At 45.4% G+C, this 26,235-nt stretch overlaps 2 protein-coding genes, 1 long non-coding RNA gene and 1 pseudogene across 3 annotated transcripts, besides 4 other annotated features; 2 read left to right on the top strand and 2 right to left on the bottom strand.

Annotated features, from left to right (window-relative positions):
- Positions 260–8,487, bottom strand: LOC105372399 (uncharacterized). Its single transcript, XR_935966.3, has 3 exons — positions 8,368–8,487; positions 2,588–2,798; positions 260–704 (listed from the first exon to the last, which is right to left on the bottom strand). It is a non-coding gene; the product is annotated as an uncharacterized LOC105372399 (long non-coding RNA).
- Positions 3,237–3,326: an enhancer, noted in NCBI's record as "active region_14624". NCBI's record gives its function as "activates an Ori minimal core promoter by ATAC-STARR-seq in GM12878 lymphoblastoid cells {active_cell/tissue: GM12878}" and the evidence as "EXISTENCE:reporter gene assay evidence [ECO:0000049][PMID:35858748]".
- Positions 15,528–16,027: an enhancer, noted in NCBI's record as "H3K27ac hESC enhancer chr19:40030557-40031056 (GRCh37/hg19 assembly coordinates)". NCBI's record gives its function as "activates a minimal SCP1, AML or CMV promoter by ChIP-STARR-seq in primed H9 embryonic stem cells {active_cell/tissue: H9 hESC(primed)}" and the evidence as "EXISTENCE:reporter gene assay evidence [ECO:0000049][PMID:30033119]".
- Positions 15,528–16,078: a biological region, named in NCBI's record as "H3K27ac hESC enhancer GRCh37_chr19:40030557-40031056".
- EID2 (EP300 interacting inhibitor of differentiation 2) lies at positions 15,783–17,237 on the top strand. Its single transcript, NM_153232.4, has one exon. It carries the CDS (start codon positions 15,865–15,867, stop codon positions 16,573–16,575), a length of 711 nt encoding a protein of 236 aa, NP_694964.3. The 5' UTR covers positions 15,783–15,864; the 3' UTR covers positions 16,576–17,237.
- Positions 15,999–16,078: a silencer, noted in NCBI's record as "silent region_10611". NCBI's record gives its function as "represses an Ori minimal core promoter by ATAC-STARR-seq in GM12878 lymphoblastoid cells {active_cell/tissue: GM12878}" and the evidence as "EXISTENCE:reporter gene assay evidence [ECO:0000049][PMID:35858748]".
- CRIPTOP7 (CRIPTO pseudogene 7) lies at positions 19,611–21,448 on the bottom strand (annotated as a pseudogene).
- Positions 23,092–24,957, top strand: EID2B (EP300 interacting inhibitor of differentiation 2B). The gene has a single exon (NM_152361.3). It carries the CDS (start codon positions 23,142–23,144, stop codon positions 23,625–23,627), a length of 486 nt encoding a protein of 161 aa, NP_689574.1. The 5' UTR covers positions 23,092–23,141; the 3' UTR covers positions 23,628–24,957.
- The last annotated feature ends 1,278 nt before the right edge of the window (positions 24,958–26,235 follow it).

The following is a 26,235-nucleotide window of genomic DNA, read 5'->3' as shown; positions in this document are numbered from 1 at the left end:
CAGTGCTTCACCACCATCTAAGTCCATATTGTGCTGCTATAACAAACTGGATGATTTATAACAAACAAACATTTATTTGGCTTACAATTCTGGAGGCTGGAAAATCCATGAGCACAGAGCTGGGATCTGGCCAGGGCCTTTGTGCCACATCATCCCATGGCAGAAGGAGAAAGGGCAAGAAGGAAGGAGGATTAATGGGTCAGATAAATCTCTGATTTGGGTTTGACCCAAATCAGAGGATTTTGGGTCAGAGTCTCTGAAGTCAACTACATGCTATAGATGGACGTTGTTCCTAATGTCATGTCAGACATTCCAGGGACCTTGTCACTCACTCCTTGTGCCACAGGAAGCTTTATTCTCTTTGATTTCTTGATGCCTCCCATGAAACCCCTCAGGCCCTCTTGGTGATGACCACTTTTGCTTTTTCCCCTTCAAGCAAAAGCCAAAATCCTGTGAAGTTTGGTGAAGTTTTAATGAGCAAGTGTAGGGGAAGGAGTAAGGAGGGATCATGCTGTCAGCAGGCTCTGGGAACCGCATGGTCACGTAGAAAGAGAGATTCCTCGACAGTGGGGAGTGTGGTCATCACCTCAATCTCAGACACACATTGAGGTCAGGGGGATACCTCTCCACACTTGCACCATCTTCACAGACCCTGGCAGGAGTCGATGGGCAAAGCTGTAGCAGTGTTGGCCACTTACCATTACCTGCAAGAGGAAAAGTGCATCAGAAAGACAGTATTTCACCAAACAAGCTTTCAGCCTCCTCTCTACTCTGCCCTAGTACCTACAACACCCACCCAGAAAACTCCTAATTATACATCAAAACCCGGCAGACTCACTTCTGTTTACAGACTACATTTTGTGGCTATCTGAGACAGTTGCTCACTGCATTTTCAATGTTTCCTCTCATTCTTCCAGTGAGGCTCTACCCCTCTATGTCACGTGGTCCCTGTTTGCTGGATCTCCCCTCTAGCCTGGAAGATCCCCATGGCCAGGGATTGTGTCTCTTGACCTTGAATTCCTGCATCTTGCACAGGGCCTGCCACGAGGTTAGTGCTTGACAATGTTTATTGAATGGGTACTTTTAAGTTCCACCAACTGTGACTCCCATTCACTGCTGATGGCCCAGTTTCTCTTTGGAGTAGCCCAGATCTGGGCTGGAGGTGGCCAAGAATGAAACCCAAGTGTTCTTAGAGAGGAGGAACAGGACAGATGTTGCAAAACATAGGATATTATTTTAGCAGCCTATAGTAGGCATATGAACAGATGCCTCACTTAGAGCTGAATAAAATGTTCACCTTTTGGCCTACCCGTTAGAGAAGGTGAGAAAATTTCAATATAATCTGTATTGCTGTAGCTATGAAGAAAGTCATCTTAAAGGTATTAATTTATGAAATTTTAAGATTTTTCACACAATTTTCAACCAATTATTTTATGTCTTTGCAAGTATCCTCCAATGTAAGTATTGGTAGGTTGATAATTACAAAAGAGTTGATTAGAAAGCTTAATACAGCACCCTTTGTGAGAGCAAAATACTAAAAACCACGCAGTAACCATCAAAACGGTCAAGTTCAATCATTTTGGATCATCCTTCTACTGGCATATTATGCAATCTTTAAAAAATGAAGCAGCAGGCCAAGCGCAGTGGCTCATGCCTGTAATGCCAGCACTTTGGGAGGCCAAGGCGGGCAGATTACCTAAGGTCAGGAGTTCGAGACCAGCCAGACCAACATGGAGAAACCCCATCTATACTAAAAATACAAAAAATTAACCAGGCGTGGTGGTGCATCTCTTTAATCCCAGCTACTTGGGAGGCTGAGGCAGGAGAATCGCTTGGACCTGTGAGGTGGAGGTTGCAGTGAGCTGAGATTGCGCCATTGCACTCCAGCCTGAGCAACAAGAGCGAAACTCCATCTCAAAAAAAAAAAAAAGAAAAATGAAGCAGCACCATAGATAGATGAATTCTCCAAGATATGTTCTTTGACTATAAATCGACTCTAGTTTCCAAAGTGTAATGTACAAAGACATTTATAACAGCATTTGTTTAAAAAGAAATGAAAGCATATATGCATATATGTATATATGAATATGTGTATAGGCATATATACAAAAAGGAATGAAAGCATATTATACAAATGAGGAAGAGGAAATATACGGTTCTCTAATGGTAGATTATCTCTGGAAGGAGAGCAGAGAAGCTGGTAGTGTTGTTCTGGGGAGTAGGAGTGAGGTTCGGGAGTGAAAGGAAGAGTTAATTTTTGACTGACTAAAATAATTTGATTCATACATGTATTTTGTCTATTTGGCCACATGAAAATGTAAATAACAGCATGAGCAGAAATGACAGCTATGGAAATGATTCTCCACCTTGGGGGAAATGGCAAGTGAACCAACCTTGACCTTGGTCAGATTTGGGAAAGAGCTGAGGGTGGCAGTGCAAGCAGAGGGTGCTCTGTGATGAAAAGCCTGGGGCAGGAGTCGTTATGGGAGATGGGTCCCGAGGGACTGGTGGGGCCAGGGCAGGGAGAGCTACCTCCTGCTCTGGGAGTCCACAGAGGCTGCATGCTGGGAGCTCCTGGGGTGCTCACCTGGTCCTCCTTGTCCAGCACTCAGATGCGCAGGTCAAATGATTGGCCACCCTCAAAGGGCATATTGTCAGATTTCACCTCACACTTCCAGACCCCCCACTCATGGCTGTTCATGGCCACACAATGACCAAAGTGCACTCGGAAATGGAAAGCGATGTCTGAGTCCTCATCCATCCCGGTGTGGAAATCCACCTGCAGCTGTGGCTCCTTGCTGAGGGCAAAGCACACGGTGTGTTGGGCAGGTCCTTCCCTTGTGGGGCACACACTTACACCAACACAAATTCCCTCCCCACTCAGAATCTCTGAGAGAGAGACAGGGGCATCAGTAGATGTCATTCCCCTGTGATTTCAATGTGCAGACAGGATGGAGAACCAGCGGGTTAGAATAATTTGTCACAGAATTGATGGTATTATGTGGCAGATACCCTTTTTCACAAGAGGTATTAGGAGGATTTGGGGAAATGCTTATATGAGTGTAGCCTAATTTTACTGGCCCAGCCCCATGAAGAAGCCCACCTTCATTTTCTTCAGTGAAGTATAAAGGGGAAAAGAAAGATACAGAGACCAAATTTCTTATTTATTAAAAGTCAGAACCTGGGCAACATGGCAAAACCCCATCTCTACAAAATATACCAAAAACAAAAAAAATTAGCCAGGCATGGTGGCATATGCCTATTGTCCCAACTACTCAGGAGGCGGAGGTAGGAGGATCAGTGGAGCCCAGGAGGTCGAAGCTGCAGTGAGACATGATTGCACCAGCCTGGGTGACAGAACAAGACCTTGTCTCAAAGGGAAAAAAAAGAGAAGTCAGTATTCGTAGACTTACAGGAAACCACAGTTTCAGTTCTGGAGAGACCTCTAGAAATAGTCCATCTCCTCAAAATATACACAAAATTTCAGAGGAGACATCAACTCAACAAGTTAACAATAGAGGAAGTACTTAGTAAGTTGCTCTGACAGGGTCCCAAAAGAACACTCAAAAGGGCCAGGCACGGTGGCTCACACCTGTAATCCCAGCACTTTGGGAGGCCAAAGGTGGGCGGATCACCTGAGGTCAGGAGTTCGAGACCAGCTTGACCAAGATAGTGAAACCCACCTCTACTGAAAATACAAAAATTAGCCAGCATGGTGGCGAGAGCCTGTAATCCCAGCTACTTGTGAGGCTGAGGCAGGAAAATCGCTTGAACCTGGGAGGTGGAGGTTGTAGTGAGCCGAGATCGCACCATTGCACTCCAGCCTGGGCGACAGAGCAAGACTCCATCTCAAAAAAAAGAACACTCATAAGAGACAAATGGTGGATGACAACTTTGATAGACAACTTCGATAGAATTTTTCACATTAACAATCTCAGAAGGCCGCCCCTGATGGCTCACGCCTGTAATCCCAACACTTTCGGGGGCCAAGGCAGGTGGATCTCTTGAGCCCAGGAGTTCAAGACCAGCCTGGACAACATGGTGAAACCCCGTCTCTACAAAAATTAGCCGGGCATGGTGGCATGCATTTGTAATCCTAGCTATTCGTGAGGCTGAGGCAGGGGGATAGCTTGAGCCCAGGAGGCAAAGGTTGCCGTGAGCCGAGATCGTGCCACTGCACTCCAGCCTGAGCGACAGAGCCAGGCCTTATTTCAAAAAAAAAAGAGGAAAAAAAAAGAAAAAAAAAACACTATCTCAGAAGAGATAGCAAATCTGGGTAAGTCTTTAGAACTTGTTTCTATCAAGATTTTGACTTGGCTGCCCTCTAGTGGGCAGAAGCCTGACCCGACAGTAAGGAGAGAGAAAACGGTGGGCTCCACTTTCCCCAGTGTTCCCAGCTGGAGTGTGGATTCTGCACAACCGTTACCAGGATGCTCTGAGTCCTGGCCTCTTTTTTTTTTTTTTTTTTTTTTTTGACAGGTGGAATCTCACTCTGCCACCCAGGCTGGAGTGCAGTGGCCCGGTCTTGGCTCACTGCAACCTCCGCCTCCCGGGTTCAAGCAATTCTCCTGCCTCAGCCTCCGGAGTAGTTGGGATTACAGGCATGTGCCACCACGCCCAGCTAATTTTTTTTTCTACTTTTAATAGAGATAGGGTTTCACCATGTTGGCCAGACTGATCTCAAACTCCTGACTTCAAGTGATCCACCTGCCTTGGCCTCCCAAACTGCTGGGATTACAGGCGTGAGCCACTGCGCCTGGCTGAGTCCTGGCCTCTACTTAGAGGTTTATGTGCAAATGTTTATTTCCAGAAATTGTTTGCAGCAGTGACTTAGGGGAAAGGACAGTTTAATCATAAGGAAGCAATCAGACGCCAGGCGCCGTGGCTTACGCCTGTAATCCCAACACTTTGGAAGGCTGAAGCGGGCGGATCACCTGAGGTCGCCAGTTTGAGACCAGCCTGACCAACATGGAGAAACCCCGTCTCTACTAAAAATACAAAAAATTAGCTAGGCATGGTGGTGCATGCCTGTAATCCCAGCTACTCGGGAGGCTGAGGCAGGAGAATCGCTTGAAGCTGGGAGGTGGAGGTTGCAGTGAGCGAGATCATGCCATTGCACTCCAGCTTGGGCAACAAGAGCAAAACTCCGTCTCAAAAAAAAAAAAAGAAAAAACAATCAGACAATCCCAGAAGTATGGGATGTTATACAAAACAACTGGCCTGGACTACGCAAAAACTCAGTGTCAAGATAGCCACAAAAAAGGAGAGGAGGCCGAGCACAGTGGCTCACACTTGTAATTCTAGCACCTTAAAGGCCAAAGCAGGCAGACTGCAGACTGGGGGAGGATTGCCAAAGGCCAAGAGTTCAAAAACAGCCTGGGAAACATATCAAGATTATCTCTACTAAAAAAAAAAAATTAATTAGCCGGGCATGGTGGCACCCACTTGTAGTCCTGGCTACTTGGTAGGCTCAGGTGGGAGTGTCGCCAGATTGAGGCTGCAGTGAGCCATGATTGTGCCTTTGCACTCCAGACCAGGAGACAGCAAGACATCATCTCGAAAACAAAACCAAAAGAAAAACAATCGCAAGATGGGCATTGGTTAGATCAGATCTCTTCCACTGTTATAATTTTCTCACTGTTATCATTCATGCAAAAGTGGTTTCAAACCTAAGCGTAAAAATGAACCATTTTTCCTGTATCTTTGAGTCTTCAATCTGAAAGTGCTTGTGTATACATGTTAAATAAATTTGTATGCCTTTTCTCCAATTAATCTGCCCTTTGCAAATTGATTTGTCAGCAACCTTGAGAGGACCAAAGCCCTTGGCCCCTACAAGGGATTTAATTGGCTTTTATTTTATTTTATTTTATTTTATTATTTTTCTTCTGGAAGTTGGCTGCCTTTCTAATTAAAAAAAAATACCATAGGTAATTCTTTTCTTTTTTATTTATTTTTTTAAATAATAAGGACAAGGTCTTGCTATCTTGCCCAAGCCAGTCTCAGACTCCTGGGTTCAAGCAATCTGCCACCTCAGCCTCTCAAAGTGCTGGAATTACAGGTGTGAGCCACCGTACCCAGCCAACTTATTCCTTTTATTTGTCATCCTTATGTAGTAGCTGAGACCACACAGGTGTGCACCACCATGCCTGGCTAATTTTTGTGTGTTTTTGTAGAAACAGAGTCTGGCTGTGTAGCCCAGGTGGGTCTCAAATTCCTGGCTTCAAAGAGTCTCCTGCCTCAGCCTCCCAAAGTGCCAGAATTACAGGCATGAGCCCCTGCGCCCTGCCTGTTTAACACCTTTTCAAATCACCTTATTTGAGGTGGTATTTATTCCTCTTCAAACTGCAGGGAAAGGTCTTCCAGGCCAATGGACCCATCGCTTCTAAAAGAGTTCCAGTGTTGGGTTCTGATCATGGCCTCTACTTAGAGGTTTATGTGCAAATATTTATTTCCAGGATCTGTTTGCAGCAGTGACTTAGGGGAAAGGACTTCTCCTATACCTTATGCTTCTATCATTTTCAGGCTCCTTTTGTGAACTAGGATGATTTAACTTTAGGATAAGTTCTGTTCTTGCATTTTATTTCTTTCACTAAAAGAAAAGATGAGCCAGACGCAGTGGCACATGCCTGTAATCCCAGCACTTTTGAGAGACCAAGGCAGGCGGATCACCTGAGGTCAGGAGTTTAAGACCGGCCTGGCCAACATGGCGAAACCCCGTCTCTACTGAAAATACAAAAATTAGCCGGGCAAGGTGGCTGGGGCCTGTAATCCTAGCTACTCAGGAGGCTGAGGCAAGAGAATCACTTGAACCTGAGAGGCAGAGGCTGTAGTGAGCCGAGATAGTGCCACTGCACTACAGCCTGGGTGACAGAGCGAGACTCAGGGTCAAAAAAGAAAAAAAAATGATGAATTGGCCTAAGTTGATTTTATCTTCAAATAAAGAAATAATAAGCAGGTAATGTTCTTTAGCATGTATAAGGCTGGCCAGGCACAGTGGCTCACACCTATACTCCCAGTGCTTTGGGAGGCTGAGGCAGGTGGATCACTTGAGGTCAGGAGTTCGAGACCAGCCTGGCCAACATGGTGAAACCCCCATCTCTACTAAAAATACACAAATTAGCCAGGGGTGTTGGCACATCCCTGTAATCCCAGCTATTTAGGAGGTTGAGCTATGAGCTACTGGGGAAGCTGAGGCAGGAGAATCACTTGAACCCAGGAGGCAGAGGTTGCAGTGAGCTGAGATCATGCCACTGTACTCCAGCCTGGGTGACAGAGTGAGACTCTGTCTCAAAAAAAAAATTAAAAATTAAAAAAAATTCTCATGTAAATACAATGTGACCCATGGTTCAGAGACTTATTTAACTCATTTATCAGGGAGCTGGCAAGATGGTAAAACTGGCTCAAAGAAAATTTGAGAAATTGAGGATATATAAACTGAATAAAGGATGCTGTAGCTGTGGGACCAGCCCAAACTGGGCCTATTCTGTTGATAACAAAATGTTGGCCGAGCACAGTGGCTCACGCCTGTAATCCCAGCACTTTGGGAGGCTGCGGCGGGCAGATCACCTGCGTTTGGGAGTTCGAGACCAGCCTGACCAATGTGGAGAAACCCCTGACTCTACTAAAAATACAAAATTAGTTGGGCGTGGTGGCGCATGCCTGTAATCCCAGCTACTCGGAAGGCTAGGCAGGAGAATCGCTGGAACCCAGGAGGTGGAGGTTGCAGTGAGCCGAGATCGCACCACTGCACTCCAGCCTGGGCAACAAGAGTGAAACTCCATCTCAAAAAATAATAATAATAAAGTTACCTTGTAGGTTTAACAGAACCAAAATTGCAAGTCATGTAGCCTGAGCATGCAAAATAGAAAACGTTTTGACCTCTAACTACACCTGGAACCAACAATTTCCTCCCCCAGGAACCAATAAGACTGGGACATAAACTGAGTACAGTGGCTCATACCAGTAATCCCAGCACTTTGAGAGGCTGAGGCGGGAGATCGCTTGAGCCAGGAGTTTGAGACCAGCCTGAACAACATAGCAAGACCCTGTCTCTATTAAAAAAAAAAAAACAAAAAACTGGGACATGATCAGAACCCAACGCTGGAACTCTTTTAGAAGCGAGGGGTCCATTGGCCTGGAAGACCTGAGGCTAAAATCTGCCTCAACATGCCTTAGCATAAACGGTCAAATTCCAGAGAGGCGCAGTGGTTCACGCCTGTAATCCTAGCACTTTAGGAGGCCAAGGCAGGCGAATCACCTGAAGTCAGGAGTTCCAGACCAGCCTTATTTCCACGCTTTCAATAATTCTTAACAGTGTTTCCAGGAGTTAGAGAGTTTATACTAAGGGTTCTCAGACTCCAGTATGACCTTCTGTTTTCCCCTGAGCTGAGATCCTGGGTGTCCTTCAACTGCTACCAAGCAAGGGGAAGAGAAGAAGGATGGAGACAATTTCATGTCCTTTAGAGCTTGAAGTCCATTAGAGATATGCTTCCATGTTCTGCAAAATCAATACAAAGTATATAAGAAGGGATTATAGGTGGAACAGAGATCATTAGATGAAGATTAGATGACCTTATGTGTGTAAAGCTTTTTGACATAGAGTAGTGCTGGAATAAATGCAGCAATGATGGTGAGAGTGGCCAATAAGGTGGAAGAAAAGTAAGAGCGCATGATGTGGCCTTCCCTGTGGCTTGGGCTTTTCACAGGGCCGGGTTCCTAGAAGAAGCAACCCAAGAGAGAAGGTCTGAAGAGCAGGCAAGGCAGAAGAGAGCAAGGCAGAAGCTGATGCAGGGCCAGGAGCCCCAAAGTGGTGCTTAGCCCGCTGGGTTCTTGGCTTTGCCCAGGAAAGAATTCAAGGGCAAGCCAGAGATAGAAGAAAACAGCTTTATTGAAGAGGCGATGTTACAGCTCGGTGACTGCTCCTGCAAGGTAGGGCTAGAGAGTAGCTGCTCAGGCCGTTTGCAGTCCTATTTATACGCACTTTTAATTGCATGCAGAGTAAGGGACGGTTTATGCAGAAATTTCTAGGGAAGGGGTAGTAATCATTGAGTCATTGCTATGGAAAGGGGTGGTAACGCCTGGGTGTTGTCATGGCAACAGTAAATTGACATGGTACACTGATGGGTGTGTCTGCTTAAAAGCTGCTTTTGCCCGGCCCTGTTTTACCTAGTCTTCAGTCTGGTCCAGTGTCCAAGCCCCGCCTATGGAGTCAGGTCCCACCTCCTATCTCAGAGCTACAAGAGTGCCTTTGGCCTCGTCTCTGAAGTCACACAGCGTTGCTTTCACTGCATTTTCTTCATCACAAGTGACTGCCTAAGGCCAGCCCAGATTCAAGAGGAGAGAGACTAAACTCCACCCATCAAGGGGAAGAGTGTCCAAGAATTTGCGACTATCTTCCATCAGTCATACCATCCTACTCAGAGTCAGAGTCTTCAGTATGATCTAGAATAATCAAAACAACATGGTACTGCCATAAAAACAGACCCAGAGACCCATGGAACAGAAGAGAGAAATAAATGCATACATCTAGAGTCCATTGATCTTTGACAAAGTTGCCAAGAACACACAATAGGGAAAGGACAATCTCTTTAGTAAATGGTGCTGGGAAAATGGAAAGTCCACACGTAGAAGAATGAAATTGGACCCTGATCTCATACCACATCCAAAAATCAATTCACAATGGATTAAACAATTAAATATAAGACCTAAGCCTGTAAAACTACTAGAAGAAAACTTAGGATAAAAGCTATTGACATTGATCTGAACTATTTTTTTTTTTTTTGATATAACCCCAAAAGCACAGGCAGCAAAAGCAAAAATAGACAAGTGAGATTACATCAAACTAAAAAGCTTTTGCCCATCAAATGAATCAATCAATAGTGTGAAAAGACAACCTATGGAATGGGAGAAAAGATTTGCAAACCATACATTTGATAATAGGTTAATATCCAAAGTTTATAAGGAACTCAAACAACTCAATAGCAAGGAAACAAACAATCTGATTATTCGTGTTCAGTCTGAACAACAATGCAAGACTCTGCCTCTAAAAGAATTTAATTTTTTTTCTTTTTGAGGCAAAATCTCACTCTGTCGCCCAGGCTGGAGTGCAATGGTACAAACTTGGCTCACCTCAACCTCCGCCTCCCAGGTTCAAGCGATTCTCCTGTCTCAGCCTCCTGAGTAGCTGGGATTACAGATATGTGCCACCACACCCGGCTAATTTTTGTACTTTTAGTAAAAACGGGGTTTCACCATGTTGGCCAGGCTGGTCTTGAACTCCTGACCTCCGGTGATCTGCCTGCCTCAACCTCCCAAAGTGCTGGGATTATAGGCATGAGCCACCACACCCAGCCAAGAATTAAAATTTAAAAATGGGCCAGGCACAGTGGCTTACACCTATAATCACAGCACTTTGGGAGGCCAAGGCAGGTGGATTGCTTGAGCTCAGGAGTTCAAGACCAGCCTGGGCAACATGGCAAAACTTCATCTCTATTAAAAATACAAAAAAATAGCCGAGCATGGTGGCACATGCCTGTAGTCCCAGTTACTCAGGAGGCTGAGGTGGGAGGATCACTTGAGCCTGAAGAGCGGAGGCTGCAGCGAGGCTGAGATTGTGCCACTACACTCCAGCCTGGGTGACAGAGGGAGAACCTGTCTCAAAAAAAAAAAAAAAAGTACATAATAAAAAATTTTAAAGTCTATGCTGGCAGTCCTGCCTATACAATTCCCTTTCAAACTTTGTAAGCTTGCTATTTATCTGCTTATACTTCACTCCATCCTCCAGAAACCACATCACTATTGTTTTCAAGAAATACCCTCTCTCTCTAGACCAACTTCTTCCTGTTTTAAGATCTGGTTTCTGAGGGAGCATGCCCTTAAAGCTTCCTAGAAACCCTTTTGTCTGACTGGTCGGCTTTTCACCAAGCACTACCTTTGTATTTTCAACAGTCATAACAAAGGGTCAGAAGGCCACACCTTTAATTTGATCCATATTCACAGGCTTTTTTTCACCTTGATAATCTTTTGTGGCTAGGCACGATGGCTCATGCCTATAATCCCAGCACTTTGGGAGGCCAAGGCGGGAGGATGGCTTGAGCCCAGGAGTTCAATATAAGCCTGGGCAATACGGCAAGACCCCATCTCTACAAAACATGTTTTAAAAATTAGCTGTGCATGGTGGCACATGCCTGTGGTCCCAGCTACTTGGGAGGCTGAGGCGGGAGGATCACTTAAGCCCAGGGAGTTCAAGGCTTCAGTGAGTCATGATTGCCCCACTGCATACCAGCCTGGGCAACAGAGCGAGTGAGACTCTGTCTAAAAAAAAAAAAAAAATTGTGGGTGGAGAGACTGGAAGTGAGAAAAAGTTTTCTTTTCCATCCTAGCAAGTCATAGTCCCCCTGTATTTCCCCTGAATTCTTCTAGAAAATCAGTCAACCCCTATAGTTCACCCCACTCTTGGTATGCATTATCATACTCAGCCACATGAGCAGCCAGCATTATGTCTGGAGGTTCCCTTATCCAAATACAACAGTTCATCAGAAATACTTTCCATCTTCTAAGTAACCTCGGGCGATAGTTTAGCAATCGTTTCACTACATCATAACATAGGTCACCAGTTTTTCTGCCTCCAATAACAATTTTCTCACTATTCTGCAGCTTTGCTAACAGTTTCCTTTGTGATTTTCTACCTTTCATCCACTATGCAGTGCCAAGGCCACTGGCACATACTTGAGGATTTTGTTAGGGCAGTGCCCAGCTCCTGGTACCAATTTCTGCAACCGTTAGCTAACAGTTATCTATTGCCACAATGATACTGCATAGCAAATCATATCAAACACTGTGGCATAAAACAAGAAGCACTTATTGAGCCTATGCATCTAAGAGTCAGTTGGTAGGTCAGCTGGGGACTGACTGATTTTTTTTTTTTTTTTGAGGCAGAGTCTTACTTTGTTGCCCAGGCCAGAGTGCAGTGGTGCAATCTTGGCTCACTGCCTTTGCCTCCTGGGTTCAAGCGATTCTCCTGCCTCAACCTCCTGGGACTACAGACACGCACCATCAAGCCCAACTTATTTTTGTATTTTTTAGGAGAGACAAGGTTTCACCATGTTGGCCGGGCTGGTCTCAAACTCCTGACCTCAGGTGATCTGCCCACCTCGGCCTCTCAAAGTGCTGGGTTTACAGGCGTGAGCCACTGAGCCCAGCCAGACTGACTGATTTTGAATGCCTTGTCTGAGACCACATTCCTCCACTCTGAATGGTCTTCCACCCTCCAGAAAGCTGGTCCAGACTTGTCCTCATGGTGGAGATGAGTTATAGAGTTAGAGAGAGAATGAGAAGTATGAAATTCCTCATGAGCACTAGTCTTGAAACTGATGAACCATCATTTCTACCACATCTTATGGGTCAAACAAGTCATAAACCAGTTCTCATTCAAAGGATGGAGAAAAAAAATCTACTTCTTTTTTCTAATTATTATTGAGACAGAGTCTTACTCTGTCATCCAAGCTGGAGTGCAGTGGCACAATCATGGCTCATTGTAGCCCTGAACTCCTGGGCTCAAATGATCCTCCTGCTTCAGCTTCCTGAGTAGCTAGCCACACACTACCATGTCTGGCTAATTTCTTCTTTTAGAGACAGGGTCTTGCTATGTTGCCCAGGCCTGGTCTGGAAATCCTGGCCTCGAGCAGTCCTCCTGTCTTGGCCTCCCATAGTGCTGAGATTACAGGCATGAGCCACCACGCCCAGCCAAGAATCTATGTCTTTTTTTTTTCTTTTTCTAGACAGAATCTCACTGTGTCACCCAGGCTGGAGTGCAGTGGCGGGATTCTCCAGGAGAATCACTTGAACCTGGAAGGTGGAGGTTGCAGTGAACCAAGATATCGCGCCACTGTACTCCAGCCTGGATGACAGAGCCAGACTCTCTCAAAATATATATATTAATTGGATTCAAATTCTCTCTCTCTCTCTCTCTCTCACACACACACACACACACACACACACACACACACACCTCTGCTGTAAAGATTTTAAGCAATATGGAGCCCCTGATCCCAGCTGCCTTAATGGTTTAGTCTACAACATGGTTACAATCATCCTCAAGTCATCCCGAAATAGTGGCAGTGAATTACAAAGATGCTGCAGCCACCGCAGGCACAGTCTTGGGAGCAACAGCAAACCTGGACTACCTCTCAAATTTTTGTTTGTATCCCCTCACATTATCACCAAGTTTTTCTGCCTTCCTCTATTTGTAGCTTCTTATTTTAGTTCACTTCATTTTCCTAGAACCATTTTTATATCACTTCCGGATCTAATAAACCATCATTTTACTTAGAGCAATTTCTATTCTTAGAAAATCAGAGGGCCTTTCAGCTTCTGCTGTAAGGTGACTCTTAGTCCAGAGAACAAGATTATATCCGCTTCTGTAGGATTACAGCAAATTACTATGATTTCTACTTCTTCCTGTGATAATATATGTTGTCACCTAAGTCTGGAACTTCCTTTGTTAAATATTTGTGACTCTCCAGGCAGCCTGAGGGTGAGAACAATAGATCTGTCTCCAGCCTAGCCTGGGAGCTGCCTTAAAGGAGCCGCACACTTAGTGATTGCAGAGATGCTGGTGGGAAGCAGCAAGTAGACTAGCTGTTGTGTTTTATTAATTTGGTGCTTGGACCAGGAAAATTAAAATGCAGTCTTGTGCTCTGTGGATGAGACCTTACTGCCTCAGAATAGCTACTTCTGATAGGGCAGAGAACGATAAGTCACTTAAGTCATTTGTTGATGGTCATGAATCATGGCATCATGACGGGGACCACCACCAGCAAAATCAAATCAAATTATTTTGTTTGTTCACATTAATCAGAACAAAGGGAAATTAATTGGAGAGTCAGTATATAAGATGCATGTTTTAATATTACAAGATCCATAAAAGAATGGTAATAAGCCGGGCACAGTGGTTCACGCCTGTAATATCAGCACTTTGGGAGGCCAAAGCCTGGCGGATCATGAGGTCAGGAGTTCGAGACCAGCCTGGCCAATATAATAAAACCCTGTCTCTACTAAAAATACAAAAATTAGCCGGGCATGGTGGCGCGCACCTGTAATCCCAGCTACTCAGGAGGCTGAGGCAGGAGAATCACTGGAACTGGGAGGCAGAGGTTGCAGTGACCCAAGATCACACCACTGTACTTCAGCTTGGGCAACAGAGCGAGACTTCATAAAAAAAATGGTAATGAATATAATAACTATCAAGAAAATAAAGTATTTATAAACCATAATGAAAATGTAGGCTGGAGGCCGAGTGCTCTGGCTCACCCTATAATCCCAGCACTTTGGGAGGCTGAGACAGGCGGGTCGTTTGAGCCCAGGACTTTGAGACCAGCCTGGGCAACATAAGGAGACCCTGTCTCTACAAAAAAATTAAAAATTAACTGGGTGTGGTGGTGTACACCTGTAGTCCCAGGTACTCAGGAGACTGAAGTGGGAGGATTATTTGAGCTCGGAAGGTTGAGGCCACGTTGAGCTGTGATTGTGCCACTGCACTCCAGTCTGGGTAACAGAATGAGATGAAAGAAAGAAGGAATGAAGGAAGGAAGGAAGGAAGGGAGTGAGGGAGGGAGGGAGGAAGAGAAAATGTGAATGGATGAATCTCATAAAAATAATGCACAAAAAAACAGATACAAGTGTGTATGTGAGAAAACATTTTAAATGGTCCATTTCTGAGGCATGATAAATCTAAGTACTGGCAGCCAGCCTGCAAATATAACAAACTGCAGGGCTCATCCACCTAGAAGGTCACAATAAGGGAACAGAATGTAGAGGCGGGGTCAGCCCATAAAAGGGAAGAAAGTGGCCGGCGCAGTGGCTCACGCCTGTAATCCCAGCACTTTGGGAGGCCGAGGCAGGCGGATCACGAGGTCAAGAGATCGAGACCATCCTGGCCAACATGGTGAAACCTCGTCTCTACTAAAAATACAAAAATTACGCAGGTGAGTGTGTTTCTCACATAGATAAAGTTCAGAATACAAACCAAACTAAACTACAGCATTAGGAATGCACCCTTAGGTGGTAAAATGAAAAGAAAAACAAGAAAGTGATTACCATAAGTATCAGCATAGTTGTTACTTCTGCGTAGAAAGGAAAGGATAGTGATAAGAAGAAGAGGAAGGGTTCTGGGATGCTGGAAATATTCCACTTCTTGGACTGTGTGGTAGTTAAACGGATGTTCACTTTGTGATAAATCATTCAGCTGTATATTTATGTTTTGTTTACTTTTCTGCATGTTATATTGCACAAATAAGATTCGAAAAACAAATGTCCAAGGTAGTCAATGCAATGTTAAAGATAACACGAAAAGACTGTAATTACAAAGCTTTGGTAGCTAGGACGATCCGTATGGATGAAGACAGGCAAAGGAATGAATGAAAAACAATTTAAAAATCCAGAAAAGACCATGAATCTAAAATATCTTGATATATAATAGAGGTGGCACATAATCACTGGAGAACAAAGAGAAACACCCTAGGACAGAACCTTGAGAACGCCTACAAGAAGCGATCTTGTAAGCGTTCCTCATAAACATCAAACTGGTTGAAATGTCCCCCGCCCTTCGTCGTTGGGATGTTTCAGATGCGTTGGCGCTTCCCGGCCTCGAGGGGGCATCTGGAGAACGGCGGGCGCCGGGAAAGTACGCATGCGCACTGCTCCCAGGGTTTGCGGTAAGAATCTATGCTCTCGCGCCCGGTTACGCACACTGCATTTACAGCGCGCATAGCGCCCACGCACGCGCACTGGGGTGTCCGCCGGGCATCGCTCTGTCCAGTTATTCCAGTTTCTCTGGGAGCAGCCGAGTTGACCCCACGGTCTGAGATGTCCAAGCTGCCCGCAGACAGCAGTGTCCCGCAGACAGGCGCGGCGAATGGTGACAGAGACGTCCCGCAGGCGGAGGTAGGCCGCGGGAGGCGGGAGCCGGCCCCGGCACAGCCTGAGGAGGCCGGGGAAGGCGCGATGGCGGCGGCCAGGGGAGGCCCGGTGCCGGCGGCCAGGGAAGGTCGGATGGCGGCGGCCAGGGCAGCCCCGGCGGCGGCAGCCAGGGGAGCCCCGGTGGCAGCGGCGGCGTTGGCCAGGGCAGCCGCGGCGGGCAGGGAAAGCCCGGCGGCGGCGGCGGCCAGGGAAGCCCGGATGGCGGAGGTCGCCCGCTTGCTGGGGGAGCCAGTGGACGAAGAGGGTCCCGAGGGCAGGCCCAGGTCCAGACACGGGAACGGAGGCCTGGCTGCGTTGCCCTATCTCCGTCTCCGCCACCCACTTAGCGTTTTAGGCATCAATTACCAGCAGTTTCTCCGCCACTATCTGGAAAATTACCCGATTGCTCCCGGCAGAATACAAGAGCTTGAAGAACGCCGCAGGCGATTCGTGGAAGCCTGCAGAGCAAGGGAAGCAGCGTTTGATGCCGAATATCAGCGAAATCCTCACAGGGTGGACCTCGATATTTTAACCTTTACGATAGCTCTGACTGCCTCTGAAGTTATCAACCCTCTGATAGAAGAACTTGGTTGCGATAAGTTTATCAATAGAGAATAGTTATGTGGTGACACTACTTCAAGAGAACCTCTGCATTCCAGTCATACCAATCCTGCAACTTGATTTTCAGAAGTCAAGAGTATATCGCGATAAGACAGTGCACAGGTGGAGGGGAAAAAAAGGGGGAGGGGGAAGCTTATCTTGAAAAAGCATCACAGAAGTAGAAAAAAATGTCGAAAGCATTATAACTGTAACGTTCTTTGAGTTTGTGATTGATCCACATTTTTCCCCCTGCATTATGGAAAATGTCTCTCAGCATTGCTTTATTACAAAGTAAAGGATGGTTTTATAAAATTGAGACTGATGAAACATCAATACTAGAGCCCATGAGGATGAAAGAAATTATCAAATAGTGCTGAACAGAATAAGATGTTAACGCTGAGTTATTAGGACTGGAAGGCTATGAAAAGAACTTGAAATTGTCGGAATATGTGCTCTCTTCATGTCATATTCAATAGAAGTTTCTAGTTTAAGATTGATTTTGTGTTTTCTTAGGCATTTCAAGTGACAAGCAAAGTAAATGTATATATTATGTGATAAATCATGTTTTCAAGAACGTCAAATTTCTGGACTTTTTTCTTTCAATTTTTAATTTTTAAAGTTTTTTTGGTATTAAAAAATCTATTCACAAGCCAAAAAATATATAAAATATACAGCGAAAAGCCTTCCATTCTTGTTTTCCTCCATCCAGTACCAACGATGACCTCTAATAGCCACAGTTTCCTTTCCGTCCTTCTAGTTTCCTTACGTGTACACAGGCACATATAAATCTGGGTTTACTTGTTTTATTTCTTCACAGAAGTCGGCATATTATATTTACTGGTTTATACATTGCTTTCTCATTAAGAACATATGTTGACCCTTCCAAACCACTGTATTTCCTCATTATTTTTTAAAGTGGCATTTTATTCCATTCTGAGGTTATGTCCAAATTTACTTAACCAGGGATATATTGACGGACATTTAGGTTGTTTCCCATCTCTTTCTTTGGGCAGAATAAAAAATTGCTAGAGTAGTTCATCTTGTACAATTGCTAGAGTAGTTCATCTTGTATATCATGTGGCATGTGCACAAATATAGTATTGCTTCAATTCAAAATTCACTTCATATTTGAACATCTCTGAAATGTGGGTGCATCTTATATTTGATGCTGTAATAGATCATTTTTTCCTTGGGTTTTCACGAAACTAGTGATTTTTTTTTTTTAAGAGGGAGTCTCACTCTGTCGCCAGGCTGGAGTGCAGTGGCGCAATCTCGGCTCACTGCAACCTCCGCCTCCCAGGTTCAAGTGATTCTCCTGCCTCAGCCTCCTGAGTAGCTGGGACTGCAGGCGCCCACCACAACACCTGGTCAATTTTTGTATTTTTAGTAGAGACGGGGTTTCACCATGTTGGCCAGGATGGTCTTGATCTCTTGACCTTGTGATCTGCCCACCTTGGCCTCCCAAAGTGCTGGGATTACAGGTGTGAGCCACCGCGCCCAGCCCTAATGATGTGTCTCATGATCAATAGCTACCTAGATTCCTTTTTACATGTAATATCTGTAGGCTGATGCCCCAGAAATGAGAATTCTGGGCCAAAGTTACTCCTTTGAGATTTTATGAATATTGCTATGCAGCATTCTATATGTGTCCTGCTTTGCACTCCCACCAGCAATTAATGATCATAGATGTTTCGTTACAGCCCAGCCAACACACTAAATCATCAATAATATCTGGCTTTTGCGAATCTGATAGTTGAAAAATGGTATATCAGTTTTAATTCGCTTTTATGATGAGCGAAGTTAAATTTTTTTTTTTTTTTGAGATGGGAGTTTCACTCTTGTTGTCCAGGCTGGAGTGCAATTGTGCGATCTTGGCTCACTGCAACCTCCACCTCCCAGGCTCAAGGGATTCTCCTGCCTCAGCCTCCCAAGAGCTGGGATTACAGGCATGCACCAACACACCTGGCTAATTTGTATTTTTAGTAGAGATGGGGTTTCACTATGCTGGCCAGGCTGGTTTTGAACTCCTGACCTCAGGTGATCCACCTACTTCGGCCTCCCAAAGTGGTGGGATTATAGGCGTGAGCAACCGCACCCAGCCAGTTAAATATCTTTTAAGAGTCATATATATTCCCTTTTCCATAAACTCTCTGTTCATACTCTTTTTTTTAGACAAAGTCTCACTCTCTCGCCCAGGCTGGAGTGCAGTGGTACCATCTCAGCTCACTGCAACTTCCGCCTCCCAGGTTCAAGCGATTCTCGTGCCTCAGCTTCCCAAATAACGGGAATTACAGGCACATGCCACTTCACCTGGCTCATTTTGTATTTTTAACATGGGTTTCACCATGTTGGCCAGTCTAGTCTCCAACTCCTGACCTCAGATGATCCTCCCTCCTTGGCCTCCCAAAGTTCTGGGATTATAGGTGTGAGCCACCATGCCTTGTTCATATTCTTTATCCATTCCCCTCCCAGATAATTTTGTCCTTTCTTCATTGAATCCAGTAGCTATTTATGATACTCATGTTAGTGATATGAGGTATGATAATAGCTTGGGATATGAGTTACGAATATTTTTTCACAAGTTGTCATTAGATTTTGGCTTTTTGGAAAGCCTTTGGCCATGGTAATTTTTGTTGCCTATTTTCCTTTAAATTTGCAGGAGGCCGGGCACAGTGGCTCACATCAGTAATCCCACACTTTGGGAGGCTGAGGCAGGCAGACCACTTGAGCTCAGGAGTTCAAGACCAGCCTGGGCAACATGGCGAAACCCTGTCTCTATGAAAAATATGAAAAATTAGCCTGGTGTAGTGGCACAAGCCTCTAATCCCATCTACTCTGGGGGCTGAGGTAGAAGGATCGTTTGAGCCCAGCAAGCTCCAGCATGGGTGACAAAGTGAGATCCTGTCTCAAAAAATAAAAAATAAATAAACCTGCAGTATTTTGAATCCTAAGGTAGTCTTGGGTGTGTGTGTGTGTGGTTTCATTGTCCACATTTGAATCTTTGAGCCATTTGAAATTTATTCTCAGGTACAATATAAGGATCAAATTTTTTTTCAATATATTTTCCATTTTTACTGTGCATACACATATATACAATGTATTTTTTAAATGAGCTTTACAATATGTGGTTTTATCACTTGGTTTACAACTAAATACACTGAACATTTTCTCTTCTACAACAGTTAAAAGAATTGCATAGCTTGGAGGAAGCATAATTTATTAAGCAATTTTGTTGGGGACATTGAGGTATAATATTTTTTCTAAAAAGACTTTTTACAAAGGCTGAGGCAGGAGAATCACTTGAACCTGGGAGGCAGAGGTTGCAGTGAGCCGAGATTGCGCCACTGCACTCCAGCCTGGCGACAGAGCGAGACTCCGTCTAAAAATCAATTCTTTTTACAATGCCTTTAGGAAAAAAAGGGGAGTCCTTGTCTTATATATCTTTCATTAGATGATGGAAACTTGCCCTTCCATTTAGCCTTTTAACTTGCTTCTCTACACCCACCTAATCACCAGTTAAATAACCTATTTTATGTTTTCCAACCTCTCTCTCCCATTTGCTTCCTCTTTCTTACCCAGTCTCCCTGCACACATGCAGACAGACTTCCATTCCTTCATCACTCTGGTTCCTCGCCTTAAAGAGGCTGTCTTTCCTTTTAAAGAGACAATGTTAATTGATTTTGATCAACTCTACTCAAAACTGTATCCTAAGGTCCACATTAAGATTAGTCTTTAATAATCTGAAGATATAATTCAGTCGTTTAAAAGAACATATTAAGAAGACCTTGGTAGAATTACATGTATCAATAAACACGAGGCCTTGAGCAGTTGCTCACGCCTGTAATCCCAGCACTTTGAGAGGCTAAGGCAGGCAGATCACAAGGTCAGGAGTTTAAGACCAACCTCGCCAATATGGTGAAATTCGGTCTCTACTAAAAATACAAAAAAGTTAGTCGTGCATGGTGGCACATGCCTGTAATCCCAGCTACTGGGGAGGCTGAGGCAGGAGAATTGCTTGAACCCAGGAGGCAGAGGTTGCAGTGAGCTGAGATCGTGCCACTGCACTCCAGCCTGGGTGACAGAGCGAGACTCCATCTCAAAAAAAGAAAGAAACACTGGACTTGGGTGCAGTGGAGATATGGCTGACTTTCTTTTGAAAAAAGAAGTCGTTTTTTGGGAGAGGGCAGGGCAAAGAAGTAAGAAGTTGTTGATACTGTAAGGAAATGTTAGAGACCATTTTGGAAATATACTCATTATTTTAAGTAAACTAACAAATGATCATCTTTCATTGTAGCAGCAGCTTTTACTGGTCATGAAATTTGCATGATATCTAAAATGGTATTTCTGGAAATAGGTCAGTGTCAATTAATAGTAACTTTGTATAGAAAGGCAGATGCCAGCTAGCATAAAAGTGGTACATGCAGACGGTGGTAGTTCTGGAGTCCTGGAAGCCATGAGATGCTCATCCATCACAAGGCCATCACAGCCAGTAAAATGCCTGAGGAAAGCAGCAGAGCTGGCCGTGCCAGCATTTACACAGGGAACACTTCTTGGGCAGCCAGGTGTCATGGAGCACAGACCCACAGTTCTCTTTGCACACATCGTGCTCACAGTTCCATCCATAGAAGGACGGGGGGCAGGCACAAAAGGACCCCAATGCAGGTTCCCCCATTCAGGCAGCAGGTTCTGCTTAGCTCCTTACTGTCCTGTATCCCCATGGGCAGCACACGCTGGGAAGACTGAGGCCGAATTGCAGGCTCCTCCTGGGGCCGAATGCTGTCATTTCTGAAGGCCAGGTCTCCCTGAGATGGACACGCAAGTTCCTGATGACCCAGCCCAGCAACTAATCCCAGTTCAAAGGCTTCAAAATGGCCATGATCCAAATCACACTGGAAGAGAAGCAGGCCATCTTCCTGCAGTCCATAGCTCTGTTGTTGTCCCCTTGAAGTTACCTTCCAGAGAAGTCCTTTCTTTTGTCTTCTGTGGAATATCACAAATGTGCTTTTTGAAGCATATATGTCACATGTAGGAGAACTCCATCTCTCCAAGAGAACTGTAGAAACAAAGTAAGGTACACGTGAGTCAGAATGATTTCCAACCCAATCAGCTCCCAGACACGACCTGTGATAGGTCAGAATTTTTAGATGGATCCTCCTGAAGTTCAATTGCCAGCAACTCTCATATTTGGATTCCAGCTAAATTCAAAGGATTTTTTTTCGAGACAGGGTCTTGCTCTGTCATACAGGGCTGGAGTGCAGTGGTGCAATCATAGCTCACTGCACAGTCCACCTACCAAGCTCAAGTCATCCTCCCACCTCAGCCTCCTGAATAGCTGAGACTACAGGTGCACATGCCACCATGCCTGCCTAATTTTTTTTTTCTGTAGGGACAGGGGTCTCACTATGTTGCCCAGGCTGGTCTCAAACTCATGGGCTCAAGCGATCCTCCCACCTTTGCCTCCCAACTTGCTGGGATTACAGGCATGAGCCACTACACCCAGCCACAGCTGACTGATTTTAAATGGAACATAGACTTTCACGTTTTGGGTTATCATCAGGATCAGAGCTAGCCACACAGAAAGGCTAACCATATCATTAGAGAGTTGGGGCTTGGAGCCATGTGATATCAGGTAGGAGGCTGGAGATTGACTTCAACAAAATGGACGATGGTTTAATCAAGCATGCCTAGGTAGTAAAACCCCAGTAAAAACTCTGGACACCAAAGCCTGGGTGAGAGTCCTATGTTAGCACTACCCCCACACTTATTGCCACACATGGACGACAAAGGGTAACACATCCCTAGGAACACAGGAACTTCACATTTGGAACCCTCCCCATCCCAGATTGTGCCTTATACATCTCTTCTAATCTGTGTCCTTTGCCTGTAATAAGCATGACTGTGAATATAACAGATTTCAATGAGCTCTGGGAATTATCAAACCTAAAGGTGGTTTTGGGAAACCCCCAAACTTCCAGTGTCAAAATATTACTTACAGGCCAGGCCGAGTGGCTCAGGCCGGTAATCCCAGCACTTTGGGAGGCCAAGGCAGGATGATCACTTGAGTCCAGGAGTTCGAGACCAGCCTGGGCAACATAGTGAGACCCAATTTCTACAAAAAATAAAAAATCAGCTGGGTGTGGTTGTGTGCACCTGTAGTTCCAGTTACTCCAGAGGCTGAGGCAGGAGGATGGCTTGAGGCTGGGAGGTCAAAGCAGCAGTAACCGAGATCGCACCACTGCACTCCAGCCTAGGCGACAGGGCGAGACCCAGTCTGAAAAAAAAAAAAAAAAGACAGGAGCTGGAAAATGACCGTATAAGGAACTTTACATTAATACTGAAGTGGTTGTAATTTAAGATACCGCGCAGTCCGCAGGTCCTCAGGCGCTCAGAGGACCAGAGGCGGCTACAGACGTAATGGCTACTCAGGACCGCTAGGGAACGCTAGAGGATTGGCCACCGTGCTTACGCATGCGCACACTCTGGCACGCACAGCGTTTACGCGCTCACTGAGACTCGCGCATGCGCAGGTCTCGCATACAGCAGTGCAGTGCCGTTATTCCAGTCTCCGTAGAAACGCTGGGACTATGGCGGAGCCGACTGGGCTGTTGGAGATGTCCGAGCTCCCCGGAGATAGCAGTGTCCCACAGGTGGGCACCGCGAGTGGCGTCAGCGACGTACTGCGGGGGGCAGTCGGCGGCGGGGTTCGGGTGCAGGAGGCTCGGGAAGGCCCAGTGGCCGAAGCTGCGCGGTCCATGGCGCGGATGCCGGGCCCTGTGCCCGGGCCCATCCCCAGCAGCGTCCCGGGCCTGGCCTCCGCGCCAGACCCCCATCAGCAGCTCGCTTTCTTAGAAATTAACCGGCAGCTGTTGTTCCGCGAGTATCTGGATGGTAGCTCCATGATTCCGGTCAGATTACTACGGGATTTCGAGGAACGCCGCAGGCTGTTTGTGGAAGGCTGCAAGGCGAGGGAAGCAGCCTTTGACGCGGATCCCCCGCAGATGGACTTCGCTGCTGTCGCGTTTACGGTAGCGCTGACTGCCTCCGAGGCCCTCAGTCCTCTGGCCGACTGAGTCGGCTGTGATGATGACATTGGTGGCAAGGAATAGCCAAGTGACCCTTTTGGGATCAAAAGAACAGGCAGGCTGTGCCAGTTTAGTTAACTCAGTCATTAGGGGGAATGCAAACTGGAAGGGAATACGGCAATGTGCAATTGAAGGAGGAAGCACACTCCGAAATGGAAACAGACAAGACTGTTGAATCTTGTTTTCTTTCTTCTTTTTTAGTATTATTTAAATAGAGAAGGGAGTCTCGCATCCCTAGGCTGGTCCCGAACGCTTGGACCCGAGCGATCCTCCCGCTTCGGCCTCCCAAAGTGCTGGGATTACTTTACAGGCGTGAGCCACCGCGCCCGGCCGAATCTTGTTTTCAAACAGGTCCCAAGACACTTCTGACTTAGCACTTTGTTAGCAATGCATTTTCCTGCATTTGTGAAGAATCCTTCATGACTTTCACCATAAAGGATGGTTTTGCAAAGATATGAGAAAAAAAAAATGCCAATAACAGAACCCATAGAAATGAACCTAAGTGATGAAAGAAAACAAAGAAATAGAGTTGTCAGGAATCCAGGTGTACCTGAGTTACTAGGATTGGAAGGCTATTGAGAGGACTTTGAAATTTCACAATTTGTGGTCATGTCAACAAATCCTAGTGTAAGATTCATATTTGTGTTTTCTGAGGTACTTTAGATGAACAGTAAATATTCAATAGAAAAAACCACGTATTATATGATCAGTGTTTTCAAGTCTATGTGAAATTGGGTAGGTGTGGAATAAACTTGTTTTTTGTTAATTTTAAGCTTTTTATTTTATTCTAGAATATGTATTCTATTCACAAGACTCAACAAAAAAAAGTATCGGCCGGGCGCACTGGCTTACGCCTGTAATCCCAGCACTTTGGGAGGCCACGGCGGGTGGATCACCTGAGGTCAGGAATTCAAGACCACCCTGGCCAACATGGTGAAACCCCATCTCTACGAAAAATAAAAAATTAACTGGGTGTGGTGGCACGCGCTTGTAGTCCCAGCTACTCGGGAGGCTGAGGCAGGAGAATCACTTGAACCTGGGAGGCGGAGGTTGCAGTAAGCCGAGATCACGCCACTGCACTCCAGCCTGGTCAACAGAGTGGGACTCCGTCTCAAAAAAAAGAAAAAAAGTATCAAAAGATGCTGTGAGAAATCTCTCTTGTTGCTGTCCTTTGCCAAACTCAGAACTATTCCATGCAGGTGCCATTGCTTGTGGCTTGGAGTTTTGTTGTTGTTTTCTTGGTTTTGCTTGTTTTTTGCTTTTTCACTGTACGCCTTTCAGGTTTTCTAATGCATATGCAAATAAACATCAATCTAAATATTGTGCATTTTCCCTTTTAATATCAAGGTAGTTAACTTGCATCACGAGGTATAAATTTTTAAAAATATAAAATCAAGGTAACATATTGTATACCTCTATCAGCATCTTGGGTTTTTTCAGTTATATATGGAGAGATTTATATATCAGGGTTTTTTTTTTCTTTTTTTATATATAGAAACAGAGATGGGGCCTCATTATGTTTTCTAGGCTTGTCTCCAACTCTTGGCTTCAACTGTTCCTCCTGCCTCGGCTTCCCAAAGTACTAAGTGCTGGGCGTGAGCTACTCCACTGGGCGTTTTTTTTTTTACAACTACAATGTAAAGCCTTATCTTAGTATAATGAACTAGACACCTTTTGGACATCTGGGTTGTTTGCAAAATGTTTTAACATTTTCTATGCATTTATACGTGTTTACTCGTTTTCCATAATACACTGTTTTTTTTTTTTCTTTTTGAAACAGAGTCTTGCTCTGTCACCCAGGCTGGAGTGCAGTGGTGCAATCTCAGCTCACTGCAATCTCTGCCTCCTGGGTTCAAGTGATTCTCCTGCCTCAGCCTCTGGAGTACCTGGAACTACAGGCACGTGCCACCATGCCCGGCTAATTTTTTGTATTTTTAGTAGAGAAAGGGTTTCACCGGTTAGCCAGGATGGTCTCGATCTCCTGACCTCAAGATCTGCCTGCCTCAGCCTCCCAAAGTGTTGGGATTATAGGTTTGAGCCACCGCACCCAGCCACCTTATTTTTTGTTTGTTTTTGTTTTTTTTCTGAGACGGAGTCTCACTCTGTCGCCTGAACTGGAGTGCAGTGGCACCATCTCAGCTGACTGCAACCTCCACTTCCCGGGTTCAAGCTATTCTGCCTCAGCCTCCGAGTAGCTGGGACTACAGGTGCACCACTGTGCCCAGCTAATTTTTGTATTTTTTTAGAGAAAGGGTTTCACCATGTTGGCCAGGCTAGTCTCGAACTCCTGACCTCGTGATCCACCTGCCTCAGCCTCCCAAAGTGCTGAGATTACAGGCGTGAGCCACCGCACCCGGCCCCACCTTGGTATTTTTAATGTGTCACCAGAGTGCTGTCCTTGGGGCTCAACCAGTTTACCTTCCATTCAGCCAGGGATAGTTGTGCCTCTCGCCACGGCCTGGCTAATCTGACAGCTTTGGAAGCATCTGACAGTAAAAGATGGTTTCTCACTATGGTTTTAATTTGAATTTCTCTAATTACGAGTGAGGACGCATGTTTTCAAATGCTTAAGAGCCATTTGTTTTCATTTCTCAGC

Source organism: Homo sapiens, chromosome 19 (genome assembly GCF_000001405.40).
Source record: "Homo sapiens chromosome 19, GRCh38.p14 Primary Assembly".
In the NCBI taxonomy this organism is placed as follows: domain Eukaryota; kingdom Metazoa; phylum Chordata; class Mammalia; order Primates; family Hominidae; genus Homo; species Homo sapiens.
The sequence above is the reverse complement of the archived record's forward strand: the minus strand, read 5'-3'. Positions and strand labels throughout refer to the sequence as shown.